Here is a 17,611-nt window from a genome sequence, read left to right on the forward strand (position 1 = left end):
ACCAATTGCTTAAGGAAAGTTCATCTTTAGGCTAAGGTTCTTTCTTTAATTCTGCAAATATCAATGTCAGCTGTGGTAGTTGTAAAAAACGTAGCTGCTGAATACAGTATGAAAAATCCATGCACGAGTAATGCCAACATATAAAAGAGTACCATATCCTGTTTCCTTTCTAGATGCTCTGCCAAAAATCAAAATGGTATCTGGCATTTGAAGTCAATGCTTTTTTCAGCTTTTTTACCTCTGATATTCCCCCTGAACTCTAGTTCTGTAAAGACCCAAAACTAGAGAAGGTATCCACTGTCTAATTAAAGTTCAAGTCTTACAAACATTTAACTGAGTTTCCCATTTAAGCACCATCACAATGCTAGTCTTTTCAATGATGCTACAAAAGAGATACAGAATTGTAACAATGACACAAACGACAACCTTCACTTGAGCACTTACCCCGCAAAACTGTGAGTCTGGTGGATACACTTATTTCTCCCACATTATTTGAGGCCACACATTCATAAATGGCCTCATCCCTCGGAGTCCGTAAGGGTTGTATTCTGAGAACTGATCCAGACCCATCGTCAAACTCTATTACCTATTAGAGGAAACAATAGCTGTCACAGGTGTTGTTACAATTGTCTACCTCTCAGCTAAAGCTCTCAATACAGTGGTGGATCCGCCATTAGGCTCATAATAAACTAGGCATCATTCTGAAACTGAATTTTGATATAGTGGTGAAAAAATATTTGGTCTAATTTAGTGAATCTTCTACTGAACAAGGAGAAAGATATGCAACTACATATGCAAAACATGGAGATTTCTAGTCCCTACTAAAAACTACCAGGGTTTATTCATTAAAATATTTCAGTATGTTCATCTAGGGCAATTTGACTCTATTAATTTTGCAAGAGGCTTGCAGCTATAATGGATAAACTTCTTAAATTATTCTTTCTCTCACAGCACATATACGAATGTGGATTCATTCAATAATGGGACTGTAAGGTGAAGAATTAATGCATGCCACCACAGATAGCTCTGCTAGTTTAAACTGTCTCATCCTGAACAGTATAGATAGGCAAACCACGAAAAGAAATTGCATAAATCTAGTACTTAGGCAGCCAACGAGACAGCTTTCACAACCCAAAAGCCTGATGGTGTGCATTAATTTTGCCATAAATCATTCCAGTATTTGTTCTAGCTTAGCATTTTCTGCATTTTTAGAGCATTCTTGCTGTAAAATGGAGGCTTGCTTCACCAGGCAGAAAATTAATGTCCTAAACACTAAGCCTGAATTCACCATCATTAGGAACTCTTCTTGGAAACAGTTTAGTGACACTGATAATCCTGGGTACTTGTTAGCTAATTCAAGTACCACTTAAAAAAAAAAAAGATGATGATATTAACAAATATGTATACAATATTATGGAGTCCTCTGTCTTTTCTGTAACTATGCTGCATTCCTTCAGCTGTTCACTGAGAAGTTGTGCCTTTTTTCTCTTGTATTTCACTGTGAATATTCCCATGTGCCTAAATTATGAATAAATTGAGATTGCCTCATATATATATTTATGGGGTGCTTAATTCCAGATTTTGTGTGTGCATGTGTATATTAACACAGAGAGGAAGGACATTCATATTTTCAAAATATGTCCACTTCAATCTTTGTGCATTCCATTTTTGTTCAAAATTCACAAAAATATTCAAAATGGCCCATTTCTCAATGCACTACAGTTTATTTTCAACTCTATAAAGCATACACTTTAAAATAAATCTACTATGCATCTTAGGAAAGAAAAGTTTCATAGTTTCATATTGGAAGCTTTGTTAAGCATTCCATAATTTTAAAAAAGTTATTTATGATCATTTTATGATTTAGGTAGGAAAAGGTTAAAGCAACTATAAACCCAATTTAAATGTTGACTAATTTATTAATAAATGTCATTGTATGTTTACATTTGTGAACTATTTCCTAGATTTAGATCTATCCTCTTACAACATACAATATACCACACATTACACGCCAGTGATGTAATTTCCAGTTTGAAAATATCCAGTATTGATTTCATGCCTGCCATGGACCAGACACCATACTTAGCACTGGGGATAGAAGAGGGAGCAAAAACAGTCAACATGTACTGCTCTCAGGGACCATACAGACTAGTAATACCATATATATTGTTTAATAATATATATTTAATAATATATATTAAATATATATTATATATATATTAGTGTTAAATATAGTAAAGATTTTCAACCAAGGACTTGATACAGTTTGATGAAGCTGCTTTGGGTAAAAATAATTCATTTACCCCAAAGGTGTTTATATGACTCTCATGGGGAATTAGGCATTGAGCAGAGATCATGCTGTGAAATATTTAGTAGTATAATTTCACTTTTGTTACATGATTTTGTCAGGAGCCATTGTCATTAGAAAGCGTGATGTCAAACTTCTCTTTGACAAAAAATTAACTTCATTTAAATTTTTTTAATGTGCAGCAAAGATGCATACATACATCATTTTCTACATGACACAGGAAACATTTTCCAAATATTAAAGATATTTTTGTATTTAAATAAATTATATTTCAATAATAATCAAGTATTTGATTTTCAGACATAATTTTAAACTTCTCACTTGTAAACTACAACCCAATTTCCAATGGCAAATTTCTAATTTCACCATTGTAATTAATTAGGTTCTCTATACATTTGAACCCCTGATCACCCTGTGAGTTCCTATGAAAATAAGTAAAATAAAATTGTTCTGAATTTGTAGTTGCTATATTTCTTTTAACTAGAAATTGCCTTTAATCTGCCAAACTGTAAATTAGGTCATGAAGGAGATTAGAAACTCAGGTAAAAGGGAGGTGAGTTTCACAATTTCAGGCAGTTTGGGGGTATTGGTAGCCCCTAAAATTAAAGCTATCCTTCTCATGTCTTAAATTATGGGCATGCTATTGTGTGCCCATAATCTGTGTAGCTTTCTATATATCTTATTGCCTATATTTCTCCTCCAGAATGAGCAAATTTCTAAACCATCAGCCTTCTCACAAACACTCAAAAAAAGAATCTTTGATTTATGTTTCACCATCTTCGCTGCACTGAGCTCTCCTGAATAAAGAAAACCAACTTCTTCGATAGGTTTCTCTGCAATATCAACCTGTTTGCATGTGTTTCTTTCAGAATAGTACTTTAAAACACTGGAACAAATTTCTCATTCTAGTTCACACTACTTGTAAAACACAGGTGCGAGGGGCAGTGGACCACTTCATTTGCTGCTTAGCATCCATTCCCATTCTTCTTGATAACGAGGATTTAAATTTCCTTTGGGAAAATTCTGCTCTTTCATTCTAAGCCATGCAATTGGATGGGACTGTCCTCATTCCCAGAACAGAGGTAGATTCTGATTGGCTTAAATTAAGTAGGCTACACTGTCCACCTATCCACACAAATTGTCTCAGGGATGCACAAGTAACGTAATAGGAGCCAATGGGATGAGAGGCTTCTGGAAGAGACAAGCTTTCATACATCCTACAGACGTGGTCCTGTGAGGTTGCAGAGCTCCATCTTGCAACCTGGGGATGAAACTGACAGACTAATCCTAGGAATACTATTGAGCCCTGGCACAAGTAGAAACAAAAATCAGCCCTTGAACCCCCAAATTTCCTTTTTTAAAAAGCCATTTAGAGTTACATTTTCCATCACTTGCAATGTAAGGAATACCATATATCAGTGACACCTTTTATCAGAGTAAAGCAAGCAAGTAACGTAGAAACCAAAGACAGAGCAGATACATTCTTCCCCCAGAGAAACAGAACAATGGACCTAATACCTCAAATCTCTGATTGCTGACTTTCTTTCCTTTTTTGTTCCAGACAATTTTAGGTCTTGGGTCTCCCGTAGCTTGGCAGATGAAAGAGGCAACTCCGCCAGAGACCCCTGTCTGATCAACGGGTGTTCGTGTAAACCTTGGAGGTGCTGAAATAAAAAATAAACATCACAGTTAAATTGAAAACTGAAATACAGACTATTATCCTACTACCGCTGCTCTCCCCACCATCCTCAACCACACCGCCATCAAGACATACATTTTTACAATGCACTATGGGATTACAAAATTAGAAAAGCATCTTTTACTTTTGAGGGTAGTTTAAAGGGGAAGGACATAACTTTCTGGTTAAGTTATCTATTAGTGCTTTTATTGCTGAAATCTGTATTAAGGTAGAGATCCAATAACATCCGAAAAGCAACATCACACATTAATTTTTATTACCAGTATATAAAAAAATCCAATTTGTCCTCTAACAAAATGAGCTCATCAATCAAAGTGGGTAAAATTTTAGCGCTTGCTTTGATGCCACTATCAGGACACTGCCAGAAAGCAGCATTGCCACTGCTGAGCTATTAAAATTAGTGACATTTAAGAGAAATGCTAGGAAATTTTAAAGAGACAAGAAATATCGCCCTGAATTAGAAGGTTTCGCAAGAAATAGAAATAGGGGAAAATGGTAAAGTGACTCTCTAACCCAGATATTGTAAGCTGTCTTACTTGAAACTTAGCTCCACAATTTGCATAAAAGAAGATGAGTCAAGAAGCCTCCAAAGTCATAGTAAAGCAAAGAATATTTTTTATACAAAGATGTAGACTTAAAGATTACTAAGGCTAGCAAGATAGACATTGGAAGCTTGTTCAACATCCTCCATCTCCTTTAAATGTTCCTAACATTCTTCCTCCTTCTTTAAAAAACTTACTTATTTTTCATCTTGTATTTCAAGATCTAGATAGCTATCATACAAGAATGATATAAAATGTAAATGAATACTTATGCACAAAGATATTCATCATATCATTTGTTTGGCAAAAGAGTATAAGTAGTTGAAACATTAAACAGTATGGGATTTCTGTCACAGTGAAATAAAATATGGCATGAAGATGGAACATCATACAAGTAGTTAAGTGTTATAAAATCTGTATCATACCACATGAGAAATGCTTATGATGCAATAATAAGCCACAAAAGCATACTACAGAGTTATATGTGGGGATAGCAGATAATGAAAAATGCACACACACACAAAGATTGAACAAAGTAAATAAAACACTAATAATGGTGTTCAGGAGGAGGCATTTTAATTATTTCTCCGACTGCTTTCCATCTTTTACACTTCCTTGAGTTTTTACAATTATGTTCTGGCTGAAAATGTTTTAAAGCCCCAAAACATTTTGCTGTTCCTTCTTTTTTTTTTTTTTTTTTAATTTCTAATCCCTGTTACAGATTTTCTCTTCTCTCCTACTGTGTTCTACTTACATGTCATTGAAAAGTGGTTTTAAATAACCATAGCTAAAATTGATTTTGAAAACAATCCTTGGATTATAAAAAAGAAAAAAGTCATAACAAAGTTTGTTCTTCTTGGTTCATCACCAGTATCTTCTCTGTATTGATTTCATGTTTCCCACATGGTGTTCCCATTAACTTGATGGTGTGTTCTGACTCTGTTTGGTTTTCTTGGAGTCAAGGAAGCCGGATTCCTATCTAAGCTCCACCAATACATATATGGATAATCTTGGAGGAAAAAAAATCATGTAACTTTACCATTTCTTGGTATGACATATGAAATACATTAATTTACAAAAATTGCAAAACTATGACATATGAAATAAATTAATTTGCAGAAATTGCTTCCAGTTTCAAGGTTTCCTAGCTTTATATATTATTTCCAAAGGAGGGAAGTTCAGAAGAGGCATATTTGCAATGCTGGTCCTGGAGAATGAATTACCACCTCATCAGCAAATTCAACTTGTTGGTGATCCTGGAACTGCGGGCCTGCTTATGTTCAAAAATATTAAGAAAGCAAAACAGCCTCTAACAACCCTGCTAGAGATCATAACCTGTAGCATCTCAGTGTAGCAATACAGACTAGATGATTACTAGGAGCTGTGGGAAGTACTTAAAATAATTTTATTTTTTATTTATTTTTATTTATTTATTTATTTTAGATGGAGTCTCACTCTGTCGCCAGGGTGGAGTGCAGTGGCACAATCTCGACTCACTGCAACCTCCACTACCCAGGTTCAAGCGATTCTCCTGCCTCAGCCTCCCAAATAGCTAGGACTACAGGTGCGTACCACCACGCTCAGCTAATTTTTGTATTTTTAGTAGAGACAGAGTTTGACCATGTGGGCCAGAATGGTCTCGATCTCGTCACCTCGTGATCCACCTGCCTTGGCCTCCCAAAGTGCTGGGATTACAGGCGTGAGCCACCACGCCCGGCCTCAAAATAATTTAAAATTGACTAACAGTGAGAGGATTACAAAACACTGTACATTGATGTCACTTTTCTGGAAACAAATGAAAAATATATTACAAGTTTTTATATTTATCTTTCTGCTGTTTCAAACAATGCAAATTGATAATAACTACTTGCTTGTCAGTAACCAATGGAAAAATTATAATTATGCAATTAAAATTTCTAGGGAATTTCCCTAGAAACACAAAATAGATTGCTGTATTAAATGGTACAATACTGTCATTTTTAGCTACCTTCCTTTTCTTGTCCATAGCCTAAAAACTGTCAACCGGGAAGGAAAATACATTGTAAGAGCCCAGCTTCCCATTTAAGTTCTGTTCTGAAATTTCTTGCAAGAACATGTGAATACATTGAAGGGCTGTTGCATAAAATGAGTGTGCACTATATTAGAAATTAAAGAAAACTAGAAGTAGGATACCCTTTTCCCTGCATCTGGATATTTTTTAAGGGATACCGTTGCATTTCTTAACCCAAAGAATGAAGAAGAGTTGGCAATTCTGACAATCTGCAACTAGGCAATGGATGCTTGGGTAAGTGCTTCATCTGTCCTGTTGCCATGTAAGGACCTAAATTAGAAAGCTCATCTGGAAATAACTGGTGGGTGAGGACAAGTCAAATTAAACATAGAAATCTTATTTCTAAATGGAGTGCAGAGAGACAAAATTCCCATACACTTGGAGAATAGGTATGAGTGCCATTTCGATGTTTTCCAGGTATGTGTCTCATTTATCTTTATTTTCTGGTCAGGCATTGAAGTTTTTTGTTTGTTTTTTGAGACAGGGTCTTGGTCTGTCATTCAGGCTTCAGTGCAGTGGCACGATCAAAGCTAACTGCAGCCTCAACCTCCCAGGCTCAGTCAGTCCTCCCACCTTAGCATCCAGAGTGGCTGGGAGCACAACCACACACCACCATGCCTGGGTAATGTTTTTATTATTTGTAGACATGGGGTCTCCCTATGTTGTTCAGCATGTCTTGAACTCCAGGGCTCAAGGATCCTCCCGCCTCAGCCTTACAAAGTGCTGGAATTACAAGTGTGAGCCATCACGACACGCAGAGAAGTTTTTGTGTAATATTGACAAGTATAAAAATATGCCACCCAGGAGGCAGAGGTTGCAGTGAGCCGAGATCACGCCACTGCACTACAACCTGGGTGACAAGAGTGAAACTCCATCTCAAAAATAAAAAATTTAAAGAAAAGAAAAAGAAATGACCATTGGATGCTACTGTAGGATTTTATTTCTGGAGACCAAGTCATGGAATGAAATTAACCTATTGAACTGTGGTAAACTTATTAAAATAACCAGTTAGAATCTATTTTAGGACCTGGAACTATTTTTCTAAATCCTACCACTGTATTGATGTGATATTCTTAAAAAACAAAAAAACAAAAAAAAAAAAAACAAAAAAACCTAAAAGGGCTCTTAAATTTATTCTTTGAAAACAAGAAAATAAAATTGATCACACTACAGTTAAATAATTTCAGGGGCTTTTACAGAGAAATTCTGTAAAAAAAAAAAAAAAATACATATATATATATGAAAGACATCGGCCTCACTGACAAGAAAATCATGACTTTCCTATGGGACCCAATGTCAATTTTTCTAGATTCGCCCACAAGATCCGAACTACAAAAAGGATATATGTCATCATCCTATGATACAAAGTAAGACTCAAGATAATATAGTAAAATCCTTTCACTAAGCATGGGTGGTGCATATATAATCATTTTTGCTGGTCAAACTCTCAGATGGTGTCTGTCAATGCTAGGCAGCCAGCCAAAGGAAAGATATGAGGTAGAGAGAAGACTAAACTTAATAACCCCAACAAATGCTTGAGGCAAGTAAAAATCTTTATTCTCAGAGGGATATAACAACACACATCACCCACTTCCCTTCTCCATATCTCAGTTTAATAAAAGGAACATGATGAATCGTCTGCCTTATTTTGTCATAGATATTGTCCAAATTTAAGCCATGCTCTGAAGATGGGAAGAAAGGGAAGAGAATTCAAGTAAAGCATAAAACAAGGGTATCTACTAAAAAGTCACAACATAGGACAGACTAAGATTTGAATCGTGAAAATCTCCGTTTTTATCCCATGAGATACAACCATCAGTATTATAGTTAGTGTACAAAAAAAAGAAATATCAAGGTATAAAGATGGGGAGAAAGGCATTAGAACTTTCCAGTCACCATTATTTAGAGAGGCATCCTTCCATTACTGCTGTAGCTAATCACCATTGCCATCTACCTGAAGCTGCCAATGCTGTACTTTGCAAAATGCATTTGTGCTCAAGTTGGTTTTGACAAGTGAGGAGTATGATCTTTTATTAAACTAATGCCAGGTACTGCACAGGTCAAATTACTGGTCAACCCAGAAAGTCTATTTTCTAAATGGAAAGTAGAGAAGCTACGCATGCATATGCGTCACAACAGAGACATGGCCGATATTCTAGAATGTGTCTGCCAGGCTCGCTTGCCATTTTCAAAGACTGTACATTCTCAGGATGCATTCACAACACAGGCCATAGCTCCTGGAATTTAGTAGATTATTATTTGCTACACAGCTCAAGAGAAGCCACAAACTGCGCACTGATTTTTGCTTTTAAGAAGTTAGATTGTTTCTTAAAGTCTAACCAATGCACAGTATCTTTGAACCTAATGGGTCTAATATTTGGATGCCATATCATGTTTCAAGTTGCTAGGCACTCTGAAGACAAGGTGATGAGCTCAATGTGCACTTATAGCTATTAAATGTAGGTGAGAGAACCAACCAAGACCAGCAAACTGCTTTTGTCTGTCCTTAACAAACTGCCGTACTGAGGACAAAATCCTCCCTTTCGTACACTATACTAAGTAGTGCTAGACATAAATCGGGGAGAGCCATTGAAGTCCACCAGTAACATCCACAGATGAATGCAATTTATGAGAAATTCCTAAAGGTTAAGTAGATAACTTAGAGTTGAGGTATATGATTGGCCAACTGACTTAAAACAGATTCATAGAAAGGATCACATGCTACAAAAGTGAAGAGACAAAATGAGGGTGCCATTTATCTAATTTAATTCTAATTAATAAGCTGTTTCTTGTGGACATCAAGAAAATATGTGGCATGGGGAACAAAACTAACAGCATGTAACGAATTGGCTTTGTTTCTTTTAACTGATTAACATTTCCTTAAATACAGAGTTTTGTTTTTAAAGGGCTGTTTGTCATAACAATGTACTTAAAATTTTTAAAGGGGAAGGTGAATATTGCTGTTAAATGAGACAGGGAGAGAATGTTCAGTGGGAACATGCAGGTACCCCTGTCTTTAGCAATCTGCTTCCTCCTTAAAAAGTGCCTGTAGAATTTATGAGAAGATCAGCTGAAGTCATCTCTGATCTTTCTTTCTCTGTAAGCGTCAGGATGAGAGCTCTGAAGGAGAGCTCAGGAACAGGGCCTTTGGGGTCTGGTGGGAAATGCAGTGCATAGCAGAAGAGTGAGGGGTGGTTCCAAGGGTAGTAGCCTGGTCTGAAGGTTTGAGGGGAATGAGTTACCATGGGACTTTACATTCCCTTCCAGCCACAGCACATCCTATTGACACTTTCGCAAACATGGGGCATCCAGAGTTTGTGTGGATGATAGGTTTTTGTTATAATTAGCTTCATTTTCACTGGGACAAGGGTAGTGACAGACAACCTGCCCAAGTCAACAGCACAACTATACCAACACATGACGAAAGGGAGGGAGGTCCCAAAGTTGATGTATCATTGCTTAGGAGGGCAAAAGCATGGCACAGATACCACCTGGGGTAGCTTCCATAGCAGAGGTTCTACATGAACCAGGGCCTGTGGGGACAGTGAATCTGTCACATGAAATTTGAACAGGGTCACCTGTTGACATCTGTGGTCAGGATAGATCTTCAAAATCAAACAGACTTTCAAAAAAATTGTTTATGGTATTTCTTTTTAAATACAGCTCCCAAAACCACCTGTTAGTTTTAAAATTTGATTTAAGAAGCATTATACTTTAGAATGGAATAAAGAAATAACTGCTCCTTGAGTTCCATGCACTAGACTAAATGTTTAATATATCTTATATACGGTGTTTTCAAAGAGTCTTGCAAGATGTTATCATTACTCCTATTTTATAGATTTATAGAAAGCTTTTTAGTAATATAGGTATTAGGAAGGGAGGGAGGGAAGGAAGGAAGGAAGGCAGGAAGAAAGAAAGGAAGGAAGGAAAATATATGAAAAGACAGTAAGGAGGAGTCACTGAGGTTATGAGTGAGAGAACTTCTGATCTAATTGTGAACCCCTCATGATGGCAGCAGCAGCAGGCCATGTGGAGCGGCCACTGCCCTCACACTGGCTGCAGATGGGCTGCCTCAGGGACGCAGGGCATAGGGGAAGCGGGGAATAGGGGACCCACCACCACCACTGCTGCCTCTGCAGCCACTCCTGCCACCACTGCTCGCAGCTCTGATCTCAGAGCAGAGTTGAGGCCGAGCCTAGGTGCTGTCAGCCTGACTGAGTGTGCACATGTTGGGGCAGCACTGAGACACCAGCCCCTTGCTGCCTCAGCACCCCCAGACTTTAGGTACTGACCAGGGTGGAAGGGAAGCCAAGTGGGGAGCTGAGGGCAACTCAGGGCCTGCAGATGCCCCTTGGCGTGAGCAGCCTGGGTGCCACAGTTGGTGGCAGGAGGCAGACAGGCTCCTGGGCAGAAGGGGATGGATCCGGTGAGGTCCCACCTTCAGGCCAGGGAGGGCCTGAAGTCTGAGTGCTGGGCTGTCAGCCCCACAGACCATAGTGGGAACTGGTGGTGCCTTTTCTGGGACCGCCCATGGCTGTCCATGGACCAGCTGGCATGCACTTCATCCCCTCTGAGGCCCATAAAAGTTCCAGGCTCAGCCAAAGCAAAGCAGATGGGACAACCAGCTGCAAAAAGGCACGACTCTCTCTGTTGTTAGCTGAACACCTGCTGGGATGACCAGCTGCAGAGAGGAGCTACCCTCTCTGATGAGAACTGAGGACTTGCTTAACAGAGAGGAGCTACCCTCTCTGCTGGGAGGTGAACACTCCGGACGACCTGCCTAACAGAGAGGAGCTACCCTCTCTGACAGGAGCTGAACATTCATCAGGACACCCTGAGACGGAGAGAAGATGCCCACTATGGGTCTCCTCTGAGCTTTCCTATTGCTCAATAAAGCTCTTCTTCGTCTTGCTCATCCTCCACTTGTCTGCATACCTCATTCTTCCTGGTCACAGGACAAGAACTCAGGACCAGCCAACTGGCAAGGCTAAAAGAGCTGTAACACAAACAGGGCTGAAACATGCCCCTTGCTCACCACGTTGCAGATGAAGAGAAGGAGAGAAGGGCTGTGGCCCTTTGAGGACCCCAGACCTGGGAGCTCCCCAAGCCAGGGCTGTGACTCACTCTTTGGGGCCTAGTGGTTCCTGTTGTTTCCAAGTTTCCAGGTGCCACTGCATTCACCAGTGCCAGCCAGGGAAGCTGCTGTGGTGCTCCTGGTCCAACCGCTGCCTCACGGAGAACTGGCAGCCATACTAGCACCCGGAACCGCCCACCCCGTGGCAGCGGCCAACATGTCTGACTGTGCAGTGACCAAACCCCACGTTCACTCACACACCCCTTGCCATTCCATGCCTGACTCGCAGTCTCCCTTGAAGACATGGGATCCAGGCCGGTAGTGTGAGCTGAGTGCAGCCTGCCAGGCCAGGTGGGCAGAACAAGACCAACGGGCCTGAGCAAAACTTGGATAAAGGTGCCACTGGCCACAGAGGTTTCTGGCCAGGAAAATAACACCCCAAAGATCTTGTAACACTAATATTTTCACTGTGCCAAATTACAAGCTAGAAAATTATAAAGATTGCACAGATAATATATCGCAATTTATTAAATATTTTGAAATATCTTTTATGTAACTATAAAATGTATACTGATTGTCTTCTCAAGGGATTGGCACGTACTTTGTGCCATACTACAGCAATTATTTTTCACTAGCTAAGTGAGAAACTTCACCCAGAATATGCTGTATTTAAAAGTTCTCTTAAAGTGTAACATCATCCCAGGATCCAATTGAAATCAGAGATTACGATGTCTGACCAAGAGACAAAAATCAATGTCAGAAAATTCATAAACAAATCACCCAAATTCCAAGTTTAGCATGGTAGGCTACTTTGGTATTATTTTACTTATACATTCCATTTGCTCATGATTTAAAAAGACAAATACCTCAATACAGTTCTTGACACTGATTAACTCTCTTCCATTTCAAGACACTTCAATGACATATTTCTATGCATGTCTATACCATTAATTTTATTTAGGCCTCAACTCTCAATTCCTTTAGAATGAGTATTAAAGCATTTCCCATTTGGTAGATAGATATCTATGCCTCTGTATGACTACCAATATCTAATTTTTCAAAGGGCTGATAGGCACACTGACAGACAGGAACAGAAAAGGAGAGAGAAGAAGAAAGGGAAGGAAGAAATGAAGAGAGGAAGAAAAGATTTAATTTAGTGAAAAGATTATCTCCCACTTGCACTTTCTATCAATGTTAGGTTATTATTTCTAACTGCTTGAAAGATTACCTTCCAGCATCTCAAAATTGTTGTGTTGAAAACATACCATGTCATTTGCCTTCCCAGTCCTTCTCCTCTTACTGAGTGTTCATTTCTGTTTTTGGCATATTCACTCTCCCATATACCCCACCTAACAGCCTCAGCCTCCTCTTCTGCCTTCTCCTTTGCCCACAATACCAATTATTAAGTTCTACTGATTTATCACTAATATGTCTTATCCCTCTTTTTTGTACCCAAAAACAATGGCCATGGTTCACTCCTAAACTGGACATTAGAATCACCTGGGAGTCCTAAAAGAAAAAAAAAAAAAATGAAAGCTACAGGTGCCTGAACCCCACCCTAAATCAATTAAAACAGAAAACAGTGCATGGGACTGGGTAATTAATTTACAGAAAATTCCAACATGCAACCAGGATTGAGAATTACTGAATGATGCCATGATATCCATAGCTTCCCATCTGGTCACTCTCACTTCAGGTGCTTCATCTCGACAATCAATATTACACTTTACTATGGATCCTTCTTTTGTTTTCCCTTTTCGTTCTTTGAGTTTTGTTTTCTAACGCATCTGTGACTACAGCTCTTTTCCGCTCAAAAAATAATAAACCAACTTTAATAGCTTACTCCTGCAAACTAACACCAGAAATACTGTTTGGCCTTTAAGATATTTCAGAGCTGCTGTCAATCTATTTTCCCAAATACATTTCCACCATTGCCCACGGAGAACCTAAAATTCTCTCATCTCGATGCCTCAGTACAGGCTGTTCCCTCATGTAAAATGCCTTCTTTCCCACTTTTGAATTTACAGAATTTACCCACATTTTTCAATTCTAAATTAAGTCCTTGGAAGCCTTCTTTGATCTTCCCCATCTAGATGAAATGTACCATCCTTTCGACTCCCCTATCACGCTTTCTGTATCTTTTATGAATCACAATAGTCTATATTTCATTATAGTTATTTTAAGCACATGTGTTTTCTCCCCTTTCACATTCATAGAACCTTGAGAAAATTATACATGCCCCTGGTCATCTATGAAGTCTTATAACTCCCAACCATACCCAGCACATAGTTTCAATGCATACATGAGCTTGGTAAAGGCTGTCCCAGATACTATCCCCTAATCCTGGACTATACACTTTTGAGTATTTAGGACGGATAATAATATCGTAAATGTGATCTTTGCACCTCTATTACACGTATATTTGTTTATAGTTTGGCGAATTAGCTATGGAATACAAAGTCTATGTGACATACCTTGCCACTGCAATACATTGATATGACATAGTGAGAGACGAATAGATCCATGCGAAGCCCTAAGCTGGCAAATGTAGCACAGCCAGATTACAGATTCATGTGTATCATCATAGGACTGAAGTTTAGATGAAGCATAATATAACGTGATGAGTCTTTTCTCTTTTATGAATATCATTCCACCTCATTGTCATCACAGAGCTCTCTTCCCCTCTACCACCTTTTGTGTTTTTAATTTTTAAGTAAAATGACTTTACTCTTCTAATTGTACGTATTTATTATAAATTAGAAAATGTACATGAGTTGAAAGGAGATATTCTAATGGTGATCACCTTGATGAATAACTTTTAAGAATTTTCCATGCTTATTTTACATATTTTTTAACAAGAAAGAGGTTATATCGTACCATTATTTTGTAACCAACGTTTCATTTAGAATATACTGTGAATATCTTTTATGACCACAAATAAATTCATCATGTTTATATTATAAAGAGTAAAGATTACATTTAAATTTATTGTTAAACATTTAGGTTGTTTCTGCTATTTCAATCAGAAAAAGACTTCAAAACTTTTTTGTAATCATATCTTTGCACATATATGTAATTCCTATATGTGAATTACTCCTACATGTAAAATTACTGAATTCAAAAAAGTATATTTTTAAGGCTTTTGATATATTTAACAAATTATACTTTTAAAATAATTCATATATTCATAGCAGCAATGTGTCAGAATGTCCAATTACCTAGACCACTGCTAAAGCTATAACTTAATACTTTATCATTGGCCATATTTTTATCCACTGTCCAAAATAATGAATTGCAAACATTTGGCACAATGTCTACATACAAACTAAGCAACCAGTAAATGTTCGTAGACCATTAGCACAGCTGACCAACCTTCTAGCTCTCGCATCATACCCATTCCTCCATTCCAGTTGCCACCATGGGACTTCCCTGCCAGTTGCCTTCAACATCTCTGATCTCACCTGGGATTATTTCACATTCCAGAACAGCATGCAATCCCAGCTTCTGCTATTCACAACACAAGCACACGCATTACAACAGGACAATACACATGCATGAAGACCATAACGTGGGTCAGAGCAGAAAAGTGGAAATGGTATGTTCCAATGTTTGAGGGAAATTTGTCATAATTCAAGGTATAATAATACCTGGATCATAAACACGTGTTTTACAGCAACGAAAACTGTATGATCTCACCATCATAACTTTTTATTTAATAAACAGTCATGGGATATTATGACAAAAACAATCACCTACATTCTGTGTGCCCGGGCAATAAAACTTCCTGAACTATTGATGTGCTTAGTAAGGCTGGCCATTCTGTTTTGGTGTAAGACACTCAAAATAACCACTGGTTTAGTGACATAAATTTCAAGAAGATGGCCTAAGTGGTTTTGAATCACTCATAGACAAAATCTGTGAAGTCATTCTTACCATTCCTTATGCCATAGTCATGCATTCTTAATGAAAACATGTTATCAGCAACACCATTTAGACATTCACTTAACATCTTCCACATTAAGCCTCTAGATTTGCTTACTACCTATTTATGCATTCAAAATACTCAGACTGTGCATCCGTTTTGTTCAATAGAGTGATAAAAGGCCCTTATACTGAAACAGATGAGAAAGTTATGCATTACATACAATCTCCCAGGCTCATTCAGCAGAGATGTAGGCAAATGACACAATGCTTATCAGCTTTTTTCATATTTCCTTTAAGTGGTAACATACTCAGGAAGCCATTTAATATAGACACACTATTTGACCAAAAAGAACCTCTACCAATGCTTTAGCATCTTTTTGTAGAGTTAGTTTTCAAAGCAGATTCATTTACATCATCCACTGCTAATTTACTCATTAATCATAATTTATCACATTAGATGTGCTGATCATCATTAAAAATAATCATTTATTCTCTATTCTAACCTGCTGCTTATCATGTACCTGCAAATTGGGTCACACAGGAAAGGTAACTGGCTTATTTGAAAAGGAACATGAGAGCGGATAAAACTGAAGTGGGAAAGAAAGAGAAAAATAAAGAACAATGCCATCTTTCCCAATTTTATGTTGCCAAACTCCAGAATATCCTGCCACTTCTTCTATACAATATTTCCAGTGTATCAACTACATGAATTTTTAAGAGGAACTAGTGTGATGAACTGTACTAGCTTCACTTTAGAAACAGTAGTAAACCAGTTCCACAAAGAGAAGATCTGCTGGTGTCACTGTATGAGCTGAAAGGCTTTGAGCCAATATGAATTTTTGTAACGCTTGCCTTCCAACCAAAGTGAGTTATTACCACAACTTACAAAAACATAGACCATTTCTTTTAAGATAGATCCATCTTACAGGATAAGCTGACCACAACTTCTCATCTATCAACTGCACACTGGTTAAGTTGGCAAGATACTTTGGGAAGTGAAAGTAGCTACTATATCCCCAAAGTAGCTATAACACAGAAGGGAGACGTGTGTGTACACATGCAGACACTTTCAATGAGTAATAAAACAGATTTAAAATGATGTTTGATTGTATTTACTGGAGAAATGTAGAAGTGTATTATAAGAAATCTTTGTAAACAAAAAAACATTTTTATAGATACACAATTTTGATACATAACAAAAATGTTTCATGTAGCACAAAATACAATGGAAAGTGATTTGCCTGAGTTTTTATTACAAAGATTAATTATAGAATAGAGTTTTACAATACATATTTCCTAAGGAAAGTCTATAATTAATATTAACTTCTAAATATTATGACTTTTAAAATATTAGATGATTCCAATGATAAGATGCTTAAATATTTGGCTATTTAAAAATATTTTCTTGGTACGCAACATTTTACTTTAAGGGCTATTTTTTTAATGTTTTAATTTGTTTTTTTGTTGAGACAGGGTTTTACTCTGTTGCCTAGGCTGGACTGCAGTTGCATAATCATGGTTCACTGCAGCCTCCACCTCCTGGGCTCAAGCCATCCTCCCAGCTCAAACTCCCGAGCAGCGAGGACTATGGGCACATGCCACAACACCATGCTATTTTTAAAATGTTTTGTAGAGATGGGGTCTAGCTATGTTGCTCAGACTGGTCTCAAATTCCTGGGCTCAAGTGATCCTCCGGCCTCAGTCTCCCAAAGTGCTGGGATTACAGGCATGAGCCCACACTCAGCAAGGGCAACTTATTAATAAGAATGTGGATATGTGGACGGGCACGGTGGCTCACGCCTGTAATCCCAGCACTTTGGGAGGCTGAGGTGGGTGGATCACCTGAGGTTAGGAGTTTGAGACCAGCCTGACCAACATGGAGAAACTCTGTCTCTACTAAAAATACAAAATTAGGCACAGTGGCACATGCCTGTAATCCCAGCTGCTCGGGAGGCTGAGGCAGGAGAATCGCTTGAACCTGGGAGGCAGAGGTTGCGGTGAGCCGAGATCGTGT

The 17,611-nt window shown here is 38.1% G+C and overlaps 1 protein-coding gene across 55 annotated transcripts in view, besides 2 other annotated features; it reads right to left on the reverse strand.

Annotated features, from left to right (window-relative positions):
• PTPRD (protein tyrosine phosphatase receptor type D) overlaps window positions 1-17,611 on the reverse strand; it is a 2,298,757-nt gene that overhangs the window by 318,627 nt on the left and 1,962,519 nt on the right. For all 55 annotated transcript variants that reach the window (NM_002839.4, XM_017014961.3, XM_006716827.5 and 52 more), the window contains 2 exons: window positions 3,827-3,972; window positions 445-586 (listed from right to left, as the gene is read on the reverse strand). In NM_002839.4, coding sequence (NP_002830.1) covers window positions 445-586; window positions 3,827-3,972 — 288 coding nt within the window. The remainder of the gene's footprint in view (window positions 1-444; window positions 587-3,826; window positions 3,973-17,611) is intronic.
• Window positions 10,399-11,378: an enhancer, noted in NCBI's record as "H3K27ac-H3K4me1 hESC enhancer chr9:8643271-8644250 (GRCh37/hg19 assembly coordinates)". NCBI's record gives its function as "activates a minimal SCP1, AML or CMV promoter by ChIP-STARR-seq in primed H9 embryonic stem cells {active_cell/tissue: H9 hESC(primed)}" and the evidence as "EXISTENCE:reporter gene assay evidence [ECO:0000049][PMID:30033119]".
• Window positions 11,379-12,358: an enhancer, noted in NCBI's record as "H3K27ac-H3K4me1 hESC enhancer chr9:8644251-8645230 (GRCh37/hg19 assembly coordinates)". NCBI's record gives its function as "activates a minimal SCP1, AML or CMV promoter by ChIP-STARR-seq in primed H9 embryonic stem cells {active_cell/tissue: H9 hESC(primed)}" and the evidence as "EXISTENCE:reporter gene assay evidence [ECO:0000049][PMID:30033119]".

Source organism: Homo sapiens, chromosome 9 (genome assembly GCF_000001405.40).
Source record: "Homo sapiens chromosome 9, GRCh38.p14 Primary Assembly".
Lineage (NCBI taxonomy): Eukaryota > Metazoa > Chordata > Mammalia > Primates > Hominidae > Homo > Homo sapiens.